The sequence below is a fragment of the Homo sapiens genome, chromosome 17, assembly GCF_000001405.40.
Source record: "Homo sapiens chromosome 17, GRCh38.p14 Primary Assembly".
Classification (NCBI taxonomy): domain Eukaryota; kingdom Metazoa; phylum Chordata; class Mammalia; order Primates; family Hominidae; genus Homo; species Homo sapiens.
The window spans coordinates 32,587,879-32,604,886 of record NC_000017.11 but is presented as its reverse complement, the minus strand read 5'-3'; the positions used below and the strand labels follow the sequence as shown (position 1 = coordinate 32,604,886).

The 17,008-nt window shown below is 40.3% G+C and overlaps 1 protein-coding gene across 5 annotated transcripts in view; it reads left to right on the top strand.

The window, feature by feature from the left end:
* Nucleotides 1-17,008, top strand: part of MYO1D (myosin ID) — a 384,603-nt gene that overhangs the window by 272,238 nt on the left and 95,357 nt on the right. Inside the window, exons 22-23 of one of the 5 annotated variants that reach the window (XR_001752521.3) lie at nt 2,149-2,335; nt 3,525-3,626. The exons of 2 other annotated variants lie outside the window; for them this stretch is intronic. Coding sequence is in view for 2 of the 3 variants with exons in the window: in NM_001303279.2 (NP_001290208.1) it covers nt 10,321-10,342 (22 nt within the window). In the remaining variant the exon portion in view is untranslated. Of the gene's footprint in view, nt 1-2,148; nt 3,071-3,524; nt 3,627-10,320; nt 10,686-17,008 lie in introns of those variants that run through there. 2 more of the 5 variants (NM_001303279.2, XM_017024685.3) reach the window with 2 other exon arrangements.

Sequence of the window (17,008 nt, the reverse complement as noted above, 5' to 3'; positions counted from 1 at the left end):
CAGCCTCCAGCTGAACCAACAATGAGAGATTTCCCTAAATGGTGATTTTTATTCCACTGTCGATCCAAATGCAATTAAATCCAAAAGATAGACAAATTACTTTATATTCTTCTCGTCATAGCTTCTCATTTACCCCAAGTATAATCAGTTTGTGTGTCCACTATGACCATAAGCAAATTAGAAGGCAGATTTGGGATGGTTTGCAAGTCCATGAAGACTACAAGAATTCCTGAGAGAGGCAGTGACCACTGCAGAAACATGGAGTCATGATGGAACATGGCATAATCTGAGAACTTCATAGTAAGCCCTGATGATACCTGGGGCAGGGGGGTGAACAATGATATAATAAATATAAACAGAGAGCAGGTCCTGAGAGTGATGGGGACCAGTGAATGGATAATTTTAAGCAGGGGAGTGATTTTGTCTGGTTATTTATTGGAGTTGTTTCAGAGATTGGATTTCTCTTCCCATAAGGGGTCATGGAGTATTTGGGTGGGTGTATCTCTCCAAAGTCAAGTGCTCTCTTTGTGGCATGCTGCCTTCACCTCCCCAACCCCACCTGATGCTGGGAGAAGACCACTCATCAAAATCAGTGACTAAGAAATGATACAAGTGTAGTTACTTTTTCTTCCTAAAAGACATTTCCTGAGTTCCTAAAATTAATCAAGTATTCCTTATTAGTATGTTTTTTTTTTTCAGTTTAGACGTGGCTTCTCTTTCTCTCAACAAACACATATTTGGAATCAGATGTCCACATATCTAATTCTATTGTATTCATTTTGGCTGATAAATGTATAGAGCATAATTTTAGAGGTGGGCTGCACAGACCATTTATTTTATGTTATTACACCTTACATTCTAGATCAAAGTAGATCTTTAAATATTTTCTATCATTAAATGCTTTTACATGCTGTAAGTAAAATAATACTTAATGGTCATTTGTGGGGAAAAAATAAGAAAGTAATTACCAAAAATAATAATAAATGCATAGACTTTTGAAAATTCCTTTCCATCTGCCAAATAAATGTAAAGCTAAGAAAAATTTTAAAAAGTTTAGAATGTGGCCAGGCGCAGTGGCTCACGCCTGTAATCCCAGCACTTTGGGAGGCTGAGGCGGGCGGATCACGAGGTCAGCAGATCGAGACCATCCTGGGTAACACAGTGAAACCCCGTCTCTACTAAAAATACAAAAAATTAGCTGGGCTTGGTGGCGGGCACCTGTAGTCCCAGCTACTCAGGAGGCTGAGGCAGGAGAATGGCGTGAACCTGGGAGGCGGAGCTTGCTGTGAGCCAAGATCCCGCCACTTCACTCCAACCTGGGCAACAGAAGGAGACTCTGTCTCAAAAAAAAAAAAAAAAAAAAAAGTTTAGAATGTAAGGAAAAGACATAAAGAAGGCATCTCTGCAATAAATGTCTATAACTCAAATAAGCAAGCTTATTTTCCTGCTAATATTTATAGCAAAGTATAGAAAATTAAAGGAATTTTAATTTGTTACTCTTAATTTGGATACCAGTACTAATGAATGCAAGAGTTTTTGCCTGGGAGATTGAAGTATTTTATCTCTATCTGGGTGCTTATTTAGCAAATTCTGATCTATTAAGTGCCTTCTACAAGTGACAGAAATACGTGAACCTGGATGTAGATTTCATCAGTTGCTTTCTTTTCCTAGCTAGCATATGCATGCTGAGGTACATTTCTAGGCGTATGTCCTCTATCTTTAATGTATGTAAGGATTTTTAATTTCTTTAAAATTTATAAATGTGAAGAGAAGACTATCAAGATGCTAGGAATTTTTTGGTGGATTTTTTTTTTTTAATTCTTGGTGTTTCTATCTTATGAATTAAGAGTGAAGTGGAAATGAGAGATAAAATCTTTCCTCCCAGACCCCAGAAAAGTCAGGCTTGAAATTTTGACTTAGAGTTTTAGTCATCAACTTACTATTTACTTTTTGGGAAAAGGTTAATTTGATTTTTTCTAGCTATTTTCCTTTATTGTCAACTATCGTATCATTGCCATGACATTGAAATTCACATTGTATTTTATAAGCATGATGTTGTGGCACATAATCTTATTTGTCCCTGAGTTAATTATGGAAATCCAAAGGTTCGGGAGGGAATTAACTTCAGACCAATTCTTTATCTTCCAGATAATTTCCCTAAAGTACATTCTGAGATGTGTTCTTGTCAGCAGTTGGGAGGAAAGGGCTCAAAACTTCCCAAGGCTGAGGCAAGAACCAGCTAAGAGGACCAGAGGGAACAGTGCCCAGCCTCACAAAGAGCCAGGAGTAGTTTCTGATCTAACAAGGCAGACTAAAGAACTTCGTCATTCACAGGGTAATTGGGTACAGTATTCAGAAGGGTTTTGCCTCAGTAGGGGGGAATAATTGGCCCTAGAATAAATGCTGCTCTGGTACCACCTAATAAATCTTAAAAGCAAGACCCAAAAGGATCAAACTGCTTCCAAGTAACTTAGCTATGTCCTGAAACAAAGCTCATGTATATTTCTAAAAACACAAAAATATCCATACCCAACAGGTAAAATTCACAATGTCTGACATCCAGTCAAAGATTACGGGCATGCAAATAGGAAAATACAGTCCATTATGAGGGGGAGAATCATCCCTTTGAAACCAACCCAGAACAGACAAAGATACTAGAATTAGCAGATACAGACATTGTAAGTCATTATAACTAGATTTCAGATGTTTATAAGTTAACTAGAGATAAGGAAGATGTAAGAAAAAGACCCAAATCGAACTTCTAGATGAAAAATACACTGATGTTTGAGATATTCCATGATTTAAAAAGAAAACAAAACAAGACAAAGCATGTCCTCGAATAAATTTTTCCTCATCACCATGAGTTGAAGCCAGAACTTTCCTGGCATTTCCTTTCACATGAATCTTGAAACAAAAACCAACTAAGTATAAATTAGTCTCTCTTTCACCTCCTGCAGTCTTTATTCAATCCAGACCCATTATTTCTGCCTCTCCAAGTACACACCCACATATTTTATGTTTGCTAAAACATTTGAAGACAATCTTTAATAAAGTACAGGTATACCTCGTCTTACTGTTCTTGACATTATTACACTTCACAGATATTGTGGTTTTTATAAATTGAAGGTTTATGGCAACCCTGCATTGATCAAGTCTATTAGCACCATTTTTCCTACAGCATATGCTCACTTTATGTCTCTGGACACTGGAAGAAGATGCCATCTAGAACTTTCATAGCTAGAGAGGAGAAGGTCAATGCCTAGCTTCAAAGGACAGGCTGACTCTTTTGTTAGGAGCTAACAAATTGCCACAGCAATTTTGATAATTCTCATAATATTTCAAAACTTTATATTGTTATTAACTGCTATGGTGGGCTTTGATCAGTGATCTTTGTTATTACTGTAATCATTTCAGGGCACCACAAACTGTACCCATGTAGGACAACAGACTTAACTGATCAATGTCGTGTGCGTTCTGACTGCTCCACTGACCATCTATTCCCTCATCTCTCTTCCTCTCCTCAGGCTCCCCTATTCCCTGAGATACAACAAGATTGAAATTAGGTCAGTTAATAACCCTACAGTGGCTTTTAAATGTTCAAGTGAATGGGAGAGTTACACATCTCTCAGTTTATTTTAAAAACTAGAAATGAGCCAGGTATCATGGCTCATTCCTGCGACCCCAGCACTTTGGGAAGTTAAAGCGGGAGGATTGCTTGAGGCCAGGAGTTCCAGACCAAGGTCTGCGCAACATAGTGAGACTCCATCTCTACAAAAAAATTTAAAAGTTAGTCAAGCATGGTGGTGCACACCTGTAGTCTGTAGTCCCAGCTACTTAAGAGGCTGAATTCAAGGCTGCAGTGAGCGATGATCGTGCCACTGCACTTCAACCTGGGTGACAGAACAAGACCTTGTCTCAAAAAAAAAAAAAAAAGGGAAAAGAAAAAGCTAGAAATGATTAAGCTTAGTGAGGAACGCAGGTTGAAAGCTGAGATAGGCCAAAAGCTGGGCCTCTTAAATTAAACAGCCCAGTTGTGAATGCAAAGGAAAAGTTCTTGAAGGAAATTAAAAGTGCTACTGCAGTGAATACATGAATAATAAGAAAGTGAAACAGTCTTATTGCTGATACGGAGAAAGTTTGAGTGGTCTGGATAAAAGATCAAACCAGCCACAACATTCCCTTAAACCAAAGCCTAATGCAGAGCAAGGCCCTAAACTCTCTTAAATTCTTTGAAGGCTGAGAGAGGTGAGGAAGCTGCAGACGAAAAGTGGAAGCTAACAGAGGTTGGTTCATGAGAATTAAGAAAAGAAGACATCTCCATAACATAAAAGTGCAAGGTGAAGCAGCAAGTGATGATGGAGAAGCTGTGGCAAGTTATTCAGAAGATCTAGCTAAGATAATTGATTAAGGTGGCTACACGAAACAACAGATTTTTCAATGCAGACAAAATAGCCTTACACTGGAAGAAGATGCCATCTAGGACTTCCGTAGCTAGAGAGGAGAAGGTCAATGCCTAGCTTCAGAGGACAGGCTGACTCTTTTGTTAGGAGCTAATGCAGCTAGTGTCTTTAAGTTGAAGCCAGTGCTCACTGACTGTTCCAAAAATCCCAGGGCCCTTAAAATTACACAAAATCTACTCTGCCTGTGCTCTATAAATGAAACACAAGGCCTGGATTACAGCACATCTGTTTATAGCATAGTTTGCTGAATATTTTAAGCCCACTGTTGAGACCTGCTGCTCAGAAAAAAAAGATTCCTTTCAAAACATTACTATGCATTGACAGTACATCTAGTTATCCAAGAGCACTGACGGAAATGTACAAGGCTTGATTAATGTTGTTCCCATGCCTACAAACACAGCATCTATTGTGCAGCCCGTGGATAAAGGAGTAATTTCAACTTTCAAGCCTGATTATTTAAGAAACACATTTCATGGCCAGGCACAGTGGCTCACGCCTATAATCCCAACACTTTTGGAGGCCGAGGTGGGCTGATCACCTGAGGTCAGGAGTTTGAGACCAGCCTGGCCAACATGGTGAAACCCTGTCTCTACTAAAAATACAAAAATTAGCCAGGCGTGGTGGCACATACCTGTAATCCCAGCTACTTGGGATGCTGAGATAGGAGAATTGCTTGAACCTGGGAGGCGGAGGTTGCAGTGAGCCAAGATCACACCACTGCACTCCAGCATGGGCAACAGAGTGAGACTCTGTCTCAAAAAAAACAAAATGAAAGAAAAACATTTCATAAGGCCACAGCTGCCATAAATAGTGATTCCTCTGATGGATCTGGGCAAAGTAAACTGAAAACCTTCTGAAAAGGATTCACCATTCTAGATGCCACTAAGAACATTTGTGATTCATGGGAGGAGGTCAAAATATTAACACTAACAGAAGTTTGGAAAACATTGATTCCAACTCTCATGGATGGCTTTGAGGGGTTCAGGACTTCATTGGAGGAAGTTATTGCAGATGTGGTAGAAATAGCAAGAGAACTTGAATTGGAAGTGGAGCCTGAAGATGTGACTGAATTGCTGCAATCTCATGATAAAACTTGAATAGATGAGGAGTAGCTTCTTATGGAAGAGCAGAGAAAGTGGTTTCTTAAGATGGAATCTACACCTGATGAAGATGCTGTTAACGTTGTTGAAATGATGACAAAGCATCTAAAATATTATATAAACTTAGTTGATAAAGCAGTGACAGAGTTTGAGAGGATTGACTCCAATTTTGAAAGACATCCTATTATGGGTAAAATGCTCTCAAACAGCACCGCATGCTATAGAGAAATCTTTCATGAAAGCAAGAGTCAATGAATGTGGCAAACTTCATGGTTATCTTATTTAAAGAAATTGCCACAGCCACCCCCGCCATCAGCAACCACCACCCTGATCAGTAAGCAGCCGTCAACATCAAGACAAGACCCTCCAACAGCAAAAAGATTACAACTCACTGGAGACTCAGATGATCATTAGTATTTTTAGCATTTTTTGTTCTTCTTTAATATCCGCTTAATTAAAGGAGCACTCTCATTGGATTTAACTGAACATTCAACCGGCTTCTCTGTTATAGTTTGCTTATGTTCTTTTTAAATCACACTTTCCTTATTGTTTTTAATTAAAATATGTACAGTATTTAGACATGATGCTATTGTAAACTTAATAGACTACAGTATAATGTAAACATAACTTTTATATGCACTGGAAAACCAAAAAAAAATTGTGTGACTTGCTTTATTGTGATATTCACTTTATTGCAGTGGTCTGCACCCAAACCCAAAATATCTCCAGGTTATGCCTGTATATTCCAAAAGATGACATTAAGAATATATAACAACCAGTATGGCTCAAGCACAGACCAGTCAGAACAGACACCATCCAGAAACACCTGATACCAGCAAGTCCAGGCTGTATTCCACAAATCAAAAATTCCACCATGGGGTGGGAAAACCCAAAGTCAAATACATTTGGGATATGCTAATGAAGTCAAACAGGTTTCTTTTTTTTTCTTTTTTGAAACAGAGTCTTGCTGTGTCACCCAGGCTGGAGTGCAGTGGTGCAATCTTGGCTCACTGCAACCTCCGCTTCATGTATTCAAGCAATTCTCGTGCCTCAGGCTCCTGAGTAGCTGGAATTGCAGGCGTGTGTCACCATGCCCAGCTAATTTTTGTGTTTTTAGTAGAGATGGGATTTGGCCATGTTGGCCAGGCTGGTTTTGAACTCCTGGCCTCAAGCAGTCCACCCGCCCTGGCCCCGCAAAGTGCTGGGATTACAAGCGTGAGCCACTGTGCCTGGCCCTAACAGGTTTCTTTACTGCAGTACCTCTCCGAGTCATTAATATGCTTTTGTTCATTGTAAATGCTACCAATACAAGAACAAGAGAATTCTATCTATATTGATATAAAACCATTTCCAAATAAGAGGAAAAAAGGGCAAGGTACAGAATGGTGTGTGTACCGTACCACCATTTGTGTAAAGAAGTTGAAACGAGATTTCTTTTTTTTTTTTTTTTTTTTTTTTGAGACAGGGTTTTGCTCTGTCACCCAGGCTGGAGTGCAGTGGCACAATCTTGGCTCACTGCAACCTCCACCTTCCCAGGTTCAAGCAATTCTCCTGCCTCAGCCTCCCGAGTAGCTGGGATTACAGGCACCTGCCAACATGGCTAATTTTTATAGTTTTAGTAGAGATGGGGTTTCACCATTTTGGCCAGGCTGGTCTTAAACTCCTGACCTCAGGTGATCCACCCGCCTCAGCCTCCCAAAGTGCTGGGATTACAAGCACCTGGCAAGAAGTTAAACCGGAAGATATCCGTATCTATCACTGGATAACTATATTATAGGTAGATATATCTCTATTTATATAGATAGATATATAGATATCTCCTATGACTTTTTTTTTTACAAAAATGGTGATATGCTACACATACCATCTGTACCTTGCCTTTTTCTCCTACTAAACAATGTATAGATATAGGTACAGATAGATATGTATACACACATATGATTATGTATAATACAGGCTATATCTGGGAAGATATTCAGGAAATAGATAACAGTGTTTGTCTCTAGAGAGGGAACTGAGACACCTCAGTACAGGGAGAAAGAGGTAGAAGGGAGATTTATTTGTTTTTCATGGTTAAACCTTCTGCGACCAATATATGTGTTACTGATCTAAAATTTTTTCATTTTAATAATAAGTGGCAGCTAGTTTTCTCTGAATTCATTATTATTTTGCTTTCCTGCTTAGAAAAGTAGAAAAGAACAGAAGAACTGTCCAAGTGAACAATCTCTCATAGCATTTCAATATATTGAAACAATCCCAAATATAGCCTCTTGGAATATTATCTTTCTGTATGGTCTTGTTGTATATATCACATTAGCCTAAGGTGAGGTTTCTTTTTCTGTGGTTGTAGTGCCAGTGGTTTACAGAGGTTTTGAGTGTGGCTGACTTTTGGTTTGCGTTTCATTCTCAGCAGCAGCTACCTGCTGGTACTGAGCTTTTCTGCCCACTACTAAACAGATGGTCTCACGTTGGCTGCCCTAACTATGAAGTCACCAGAAACTCTGCAGTATTAAGCTGTCAAAGGACCCATCTGCCCTAAGCAGCTGTCCAGGCATTTGCCTGTCTGGATGCTGGAAACCTCAGTATAACTCCAATTGCAGGCATTAAAATTTCTTATTTTTCCTGTTCTCTTTCTGTGGATGCAAGCCAGAAATCAATGCCATCTGCTTCTTGTTCTTCTTTAATATCTCCTTAATTAAAGGAGCACTGTTACTGGATTTAACTGAACATTCGACCAGCTTCTCAGTTGTAGTTTGTGTATGTTCTTTATAACTCACACTTAGAGCCATGGGGAGACCCATACCGATAAGCAGGCCAGCAGTTGCTGGCTGCACATTGCTGTCACTGCCGCGGCAGTACAGGTGAGGAGCCAGGGGAGGTGAGGCCTCATGACAAGAGGTGAAGGAGGCAGAGGATGGGGCCACCTCCCAAAGGTCCCAGCGCCTGGCCCTCCCCGTCCAGCAGAGCTGCTGCTCACGCCTTCTGCTGCACCTGCAGTGAGGCTCCTCTGCCCCAAACCTGAATACCCGTTTCCATGGCCTTTGATCTATGTTCCCAGACTGCTCTCTTTGAATGCCTGGCCACTCATTTTAATAGTTTATATTCCATAAGCAAAATAAAGGTATGCCATGTCGATTGCCAGCTGTGGAGGACTGGTTGATTAAATTTTGGTCCATCAAATTTAGGGTATTTGAGCTATTTAAAATAATTATTGAAGGCACCTGACTTATGGGGGACAGAAAAGTGAGTGGCCACAATTCACTTTCCTCTGCCTTCCAATAGAGATACACGTGAAAACACAGGAAGCAAGGACACCTTTCTGTAGTGCTGGAAACTAGAAATGTGATTCAATCCTGGACCTGCCAAGAGGGGCATCCTTCACCCCTGCTCATGTATCGTCTCACCAGGTCTTCCCTGACTGTCCTCTGGAGAATAGCAATTCACCCTGTCCCACCACACCCTGTCCCCAAACCCCCCTAATCTTTCCCCATGGCTGTCAACTCCACCTGACATGCTGTATCTTTACTTGTGTATTGTATATATTCCAACTGGAATACAAGCTTTATGTAAGCAGAGACTTTATTTATATTGTTCCCTGCAGTTTCCCTAGTGCCCAAAACAGTGCTGGCACACAGAAGGTTCCCTGTAAATAACTGTTGAATACTCATTGTTAAACAGAGAATTGCTGACTGATAGGCCCCACTCGCGGTAGGGTGCTTCTAGCCCTTCCTACTGATAGGTGCACCTTGCCCACCAGAAGATGGTAACTCAATCCTTCTCCTGTATGAAAGAAAGGAAAAATTCTTCTGATAGTTTCCTTCCCTTTATGAATACCTCTTTTCCTTTTTTTAAGTTATTTTTCTGACACAATGATTATACATATTTATGGGATACAGTGATATTTTGATACCTGTATACAAGGTATAATGATCAAATCAAGGTAATTAGCATATCTATCACCTCAGACATTTATCATTTCTTTTCATTAGGAATATTGAAAATCCTCTCTTCTAGCTATTTGAAAATATGCAATAAATTGTTAATTGTGACCGATTACAGATAAGATTACAGAATAGGGTTCTATATTCACCCTGCAGTGCTAGAGAATGCTAGAACTCATTCCTCCTCTCTAGCTGTAATTTTATATCCGTTAACCAACTTCTGGCTATCCCTGCCACTTGCCAGCCTTCATACCACCATATGAATGTCTCTTTCCTTGATTGATTCCAGGATTACAGGGCTAAGCAATGTAATATGTGTGGGACAGAAGGCAGGAGGCATTTCAAGATATTAAATCAGCAACTAAAAGGGCTGTGGGCTGGAAGAGCCATGAGTATGTTGAATGCTGGGGGCTGCAGCTTTCCATTCACTTTTCTTTAACAACTACAGAACTAGAAATAATTTCAGACTCTCCTTGTCAGTGAGCTGACAAGGAAGCAGGATGTAGGAATTCCTACTCAGATCAGCAGTTTCATAATAAGTAGAAGACTTTGCAACCACAACTAGAGTCTGTGCACACAAGCCAGCTCTCCAGCTTAAAAACTGATAAATGATTTTGGCTACAAACAGGTGGGCTGTAAGAAGGAGCCCCAAAAAATCCATATGCCCTTTATGTAAGAACATCAGAACTGAATAGATGTCTCCTTAGTTGGGAGGCCTATAAAGGAAGATATTAACAGTAAGAGAGATATAGATATTATAAGACCTAAAAGAAAAAGCCTATTTCTGAAAAGGCCAATAATATAAAATTTATGTTACAGAAACCATCTGCTTATACTCTGAATAAAATTCAAGAAAGCATAGATTCTACATAAACAGGCCCAAGATTACATGGCAAACTGAGATGAAGAGGATGCTGGCTGAGAAACAAACAAAAGTGTTCAATTATTTGAATGAAGTAAGGAAAGATATTTTAAAATGTAAATCAACATTAAAATCTGAAAATGGCACAGTTGATATTGCAGAAAATAGAATTGATGTGAAAGGAAAGTTTGAAGTCTCTCAGTGTGCAGAATTTACTGTTATAATGGGCAACATGTTAACTTTCTTAGCAATATACAAAATAAGGGTACATCTTACAGAGAAGGCATCTTATATTCAATAAAATATGGTAATTTAAAACATACAAAAAGAAAATATGTCTGTACTGAATGCACTTTTTCTGAAGTTCCAGAGAGCCTACTTTGTTATCATGATGACCTTTTTTAATTTCAAGGGTTAACTAAATATATGTAATTCTCCAGCTTAAAAGCTGAGAAATGATTTTGGCTACAAAGAAGTGGGCTATAAGAAGGAGCCCCGAAGAGTCCATATGCCCCTTTATGTAAGAACACCAGGACTGAATAGATGTCTGCTTTTAATATATATAACTGGTTTTGTTTTGTTTTTTTGAGATGGAGTCTCGCACTGTCACCCGGGCTAGAGTGCAATGGCACCATCTCGGCTCACTGCAACCTCTGCCTGCCAGGTTCATGCAATTTTCCTGCCTCAGCCTCCCAGGTAGCTGGGATTACAGGCATGCTCCACCACGCCCGGCTAATTTTTTGTGCTTTTAGTAGAGATGGGGTTTCACTATGTTGGCCAGACTGGTCTCGAACTCCTGACCTCATGATCCTCCCGCCTCAACTTCCCAAAGTGCTGGGATTACAGGCATGAGCCCCAACGCCCAGCCAATATATATAACTTTTCTTTATATATAACTATGTTTATAGTTAATCCTTGAAATTATAAAGTATGTATTAAACACACAGACCTGGGAGTGGAATGAGATTCTCTTACAAAGGAACAAAAATTAGGATTCCCTCCGTCTTCTGTACTGCAGCAGTAAATGCCAGAATCCTGTGGAGCAACATCTTTAGTCTTCTAAGGAGAAAAGCTTAGAGAGCAACAATTGTATGCCCAACCAAGTTGTCATTTGTGTTTAGCAGACAAACGAGCCTCAGAAAGCATGCTACTGGGGCTCTCTGGAGGAGGAACAGCTGTGATCCAGGAGTCAAATGCTGTCACAATCTCCATCTCTCATCTTCACATCTCTTGTCTTGCCAGGTTCACTCTCCTGTAGTGGTGGCTTCCACATGGCTGGAAATGTCTCCAAATAACTCTATATCTCCTTTTCCAGCCTTGCCACCAGGGGGAAATTAAGAGAATGTTCTCTGGGCTATTGTCCTAAAACCCCAGGGAAATGTTCCCACTGACTCAATAACTGGCCAGAGTAATGGTTGTCATGGCATGGGTAAGACACCTACCCCAGTGACAGTCACTTTGGCCAGAGAAGTGGTGTCTTCCAAGAACATGGAAGTCTCCAGTAAAACCTGAGGAAGAGCATGTTTTGGAAGAGAGTGAAGCAGAGTGGGGTGGGAGTGACTGGGGACGAAGTGTACGGGGCCAGCATTTCCCGAAAGAAGCGGAAGTGATACGGTACTGGGCAAGAAAAACAAATGGTTTCACATTGTTTTGTTTTGTTGGGGTTTTTTTCAGTGCTATATACAGTATATACAGTTTTATTTGTTTTTAGTTTTATGGTTCCAGTCATTTCCAGAGTTATTACTTAGGTCAGTAAGTCTTTTTCCTTGCCCCTACATTGTTGTACTTTACATAAGTTATATCGAACATTTGTAACAGCTAGATTGTTTTCTCACAGTTCCATCTTATTCTGGCATCCCCTCCCCTCCTGGTTGGTATTTTTAAGGTGCTATATGGATTTTGACAAATGCAGTGTCATGTATCCACCACTGTAGTACCATATAAAATAATTTTATTTATATTTTTTGCTTGTTAAAATTATTGTTGGTGTAAATACCAAATTGACTAAAGAGTTAATTGTAAAAACTGAAATCATAGAAGAATTAGGTAAAATAAAGGATAAATCCAAAAGAACAATTAATAACTCTACACAACAACATTGATGCATCCATCTTAAGTGCATGTTGCTAAGTGAAAGAAGACAGTCCGAGAGGCCTACATACTGTATTATTCCACTTATGTGACATTCTGGAAAAGGTAAAACTATAGAGATGGCAAAGCCTGTGGTTACCAGGGGTTTGGAGATGAGGGAGGGTTAAAAAGGTGAAGCACTGGGGATTTTTGATGGCTATAAAATTATTCCATGTACATTCCTGGGGAACCTGGTGCTAAACCATTCTTGGACAACCTGCTTCTGGGTCAGGGTTTTGTACATAGCAGAGTGGCTCTCTTGCTGTGATTATTGAGTCAGCCCTTGACATAAGGGTGTGCAAGATATAATAAAGAGAAAACACATTGTTTTTAATTGCGAAAACTTAGAAACCATATAAAAGTTCATCAAAACAAACATGATTAAATACTTGATGGTATTTCCATACAATTAAGCAGCATGCAGCCATGAAAAAGACTATGACAGTCTTTCTTTATCAGGGGTCCTTAAAGTGTGGGCTCCATCGGCATTAGAATAACCTGAAGGTGTTTTTTCAAAAGGCAGCTCCCCGGGCCCATCCCAGGCCCTCTAAATCAGACCCTCCAGGAACCTACATGCTTAGTGAGCTACCCAGGTGATCCCTATGCTCAAGCTTGATGGCCACTGGTTTCATGAACTGACATAGAAAATGACCAGAAGGAGCACATCATGTTTTCATATGGCCAATTTGCTGATGCCATTGCGATGAAAGTAGGTTTGTTTTTTTTTTTGATGAAATCACCAAAGATTTGTGTTTTTGAAATTGCTGACAAGTGCAAAAGAAACATCCCCTACTGCCCCAGTGAAGAAAGGCGGGATGGAAAGAGGGCTGAGGCTCAGAGAAAAGGGGTAAAGAAGGAATGGAGAGTAGAATTGAGTGGAGGATTACAGAGAAATCACACAGAACCAGGATCCTGTTTACCACATCCACTTGTCCTAGAAAGAGCCGCCTGTCATTCTAAGCAATGGTTTTTAATTACCCTAAGAAGTTCGCAGTGAGGGCCCACCTGCCCACTTCCAGATAGGAAACTCCACCTGCAAAGAGCAGGCTTCCACATAATGAACTTAACCTATTTACATGCACTCAGTCCCACCTGCTATACACAAAAGAGTACAGAGAGAAATCTTAAAAGGTTTTCAGTGTGACTAAGCTGGGGCAAAAATCAAACAATGTTAAAGTGTAACAGCTGTTGTGTACTGTGAGCAATCCACTGACTTTCCATCTCTCCCTGTGCACGGTGCCCATCTGCACTGAGAAGCGGCTGCCCTTGGGCAGAGCTCACCAAGAGGTTGTGCAGGGGCACAGTCATCCTCAGCTTTACCTGCCTTGATGACGGGAGATTTTCTGGGGATTTTTGTGCAAATCAAAGATTCTTATTTGCTTTGTGACGTGTTCATCATTGTCTTTTATGTTGAAAGAGTGAATCCAAAAATACTGGAAAACTGATCTTTTCATCATTTCCGCAGGTAGCTATTGTACCTTTAGAGTAATCATATTACTTTTTAAAGGCCGTAGCTCTAAACCTTACAATATATGTTAAAACAGAGATCTTCCTGTGAGGTATTCATGAATTCACCAAATGATTAGTGAATAATACCATGCTATCTGTTGGAATTTTTTTCTAAATTGAATGTCAGATATAACTCTTTAACTTAATGCAATTTTTAAAAAGCTCTCTTAATGTGTTTATTTCAGGTCTTAGCAGCTATATTGGAATCAGGAGTTTATATAAGCATAATATACTCAGTGAAGTGTTTTATCTGCCACAAACACTGTTCTATTTTTATACCATCATTCAGCATGCATTCACTAAGCACCCATCACAGGTCAGGCTGCGGGTGGTAGGAGGGATACCAAGAAGAACCCTGTGGTCCTTTCCAGTCCTTTCCCTTCAAACAGCTCTTAATCCCATGAAAAGACAGCATGTACATTATACTGCCTGGTATGTACTGTAATAAAACCATGGACAAAGGCCATGGAAACACAGGGGATAAACCAGCCCTCTTTGCCTACCAGAGTCAGGAGATCCCTGGCAGAGCAAATGATCACCCAGTTGGGTCTTCAAGTCTAGTTGGAGGTTATGAGCTGGGGGATGAGGTGAGATGCTCCCCATAGAAGGGAGGAGAATATGCAAAAACTTGGTGGAGCTGGTACATTTGGAGAGTTGAGTGATTGCAGGGGACCAAAGGGGCTGTAGCAAGAAATGAGACTGGAAAAATAAGTAGAAGCTTATAAAAGCCCATGCCAATGAATTTGAACTTTATCATATAAGTAATGGGGAGAAGTAAGTATAAAAATATAAAACTGCCCAACAAGACAAAGCCTGAAGACACAGATGTCACCTAGCCTATACATGCTCAAGAATGCAAAATAATTTTTCACTTAAGGGAAGTGGGAACTTGAGGAACACTAGTTGATATGTAATACATCTGTGGGCCCCACATGCCAAAAAGAGTTAATTGAACAGAGAAAGAACTAGCAAGATAGAAGTTACAAAGGCAGGTGTTAAACCTCAGTAATAAAACCAGAAATCAAAAATCCTCATGGAGTAAAAACTATAACAAAATTCTTTAGCTTTTGTAGCTTCCCTGAAATTGTTATTTTGCCACCCCTTTAGTAATTAGCAATAAAAATCCCTAGAATGAGAAGGACCTAGATTTTTACCTTCAGGGTCAGCAAGGAAGCACGAAGTTAAAGAAGCTTCCTCCTGTTCTACAGCTGTTCGTAGGGAGAGAAGATTCTCAAGGGACAGTGTGAATGACGGAAATGTTAAATTGAGGAGGAGGCGGAGCTTGGGTGTGGAGGCATTTATTGTTTGGTCTGTCCAGTAATCCCTTCTTCTGGGACCTTCCTCTCCCCTGTCACACTTCTGCATGGTCCGACGAGAGGCACCACATCCTTACATTGCCCTACTCCCTGGAAAGAGCTGAGTACAGGGCACAGGTAGTATCTGACCCAACCCGGACCACTTTCCCCATCCCTCAAGATTTTTGGGCTTTGGATCAGAGAAGACTTATAATTCATTGCCTCTTCTATGCATGAAGGCAAAACATTTGGGAGCTGTGGCTCAACACGTTCCCAAAGGTGAGAAGTTGGGTTCAGTAAGAGAGAACAGCGTAGAGCATAGGGAACCCACGGGGAGCAGCAGGACTCAAGGTGAAGCAGGACCTGAAACATCCAAGCCCCAGGTCTGCCTCCCCACGAGGCCGGCCACCTTGTGGCCATCAGACTGTATGCCGTTTGTTGATTTTGTGTGACCTAAAGCAGGCCAATTTGTCAAAAACCAGTTCACAAATATGCAGTTCACAAATATGACACTGTTGTACTGTACACTTGGAAATTGTTGGGAGGGTGAATTTTATTCTCTTGCAGGGGCAGTGGGGTGCCACAAGTTTTGTTTTTGTTTTTTGTGGGTTTTTTTTTTGTTTTATTTGTTTGTTTGTTTGTTTTTTGAGGCAAAATTTTGCTCTGTCACCCAGACTGGAGTGCAGTGGTGGGATCTCAGCTCACTGCACCCTCCACCTCCTGAGTTCAAGTGATTCTCCTGCCTCAGCCTCCCAAGTAGCTGGGACTGCAGGTGTCCACCACCATGCCCAGGCTAATTTTTAGTAGAGATGGGGTTTCACCATGTTGGCCAGGCTGGTCTTAAACTCCTGGCCTCAAGAGATCCACCTGTGTCGGCCTCCCAAAGTTCGGAGATTACAGGCTGAGCCACCATGCCCAGCCTTTGCCACAGTTTTTTAAATGGATTTTAAAAATTAGTTCACCAGAAGTCAGTTTGCCCAATACCAGTTCATGGAAGTTATAAAAATTTGTGAAGTTACCAAAAACTAGTCTTGAAAAAACTCCTTGAATATGTCCCTTCTAACAGCTTTTTAATACATGTTCAGGATGAAAAAAACTAAGGCTCTTGGGTTGGTTTAGTCTTTTTATTAAGTGGAGCAGAAAAAAATGGACTTCACTCAAATGTACAGGTATGCTGTTTGGAGTTTATTTTGAACGATCAGAGAAGGACATCCCTCTTTCAGATGCTTCCAAAGAACTAGCAAGCACGTGTGTCTTTTATCAGGCATCGTGCCCTTAAAGGGATTCCTCCCAGATAGCAGTGCCAGATACTAGGGCTTGACTGTCAGAAACAAGCAACCTACATTTCAGGTCATGCAGATCCACATTTTTCCTAGAAGGTAGCTCTACACACTGTCCAACCAGGAACTGTCAAAATCCACAGATTTTAGCATTTCCTATGGGGACTTTAGCTTATCCTAAATTCTGAAATCTTCTTTGTTATTTTCCATTTGATATTTAGCTTTCTTCTATCAAATTTGCCAGATGACTAATTCATCTAATTTACCAAATTTATAGATTTACCAAAAATGTGTTTCTTTTGACTCTTTATATAAAGTATATAATTCAGCTAGGTGAGATGGCAATTAATAGCCTTTGAGGATTTCTACAAAGTTCTAATTGATTGATTTTCATTTTGTTTTCATAACAACAGTTTAAGGAATGGTCCGTT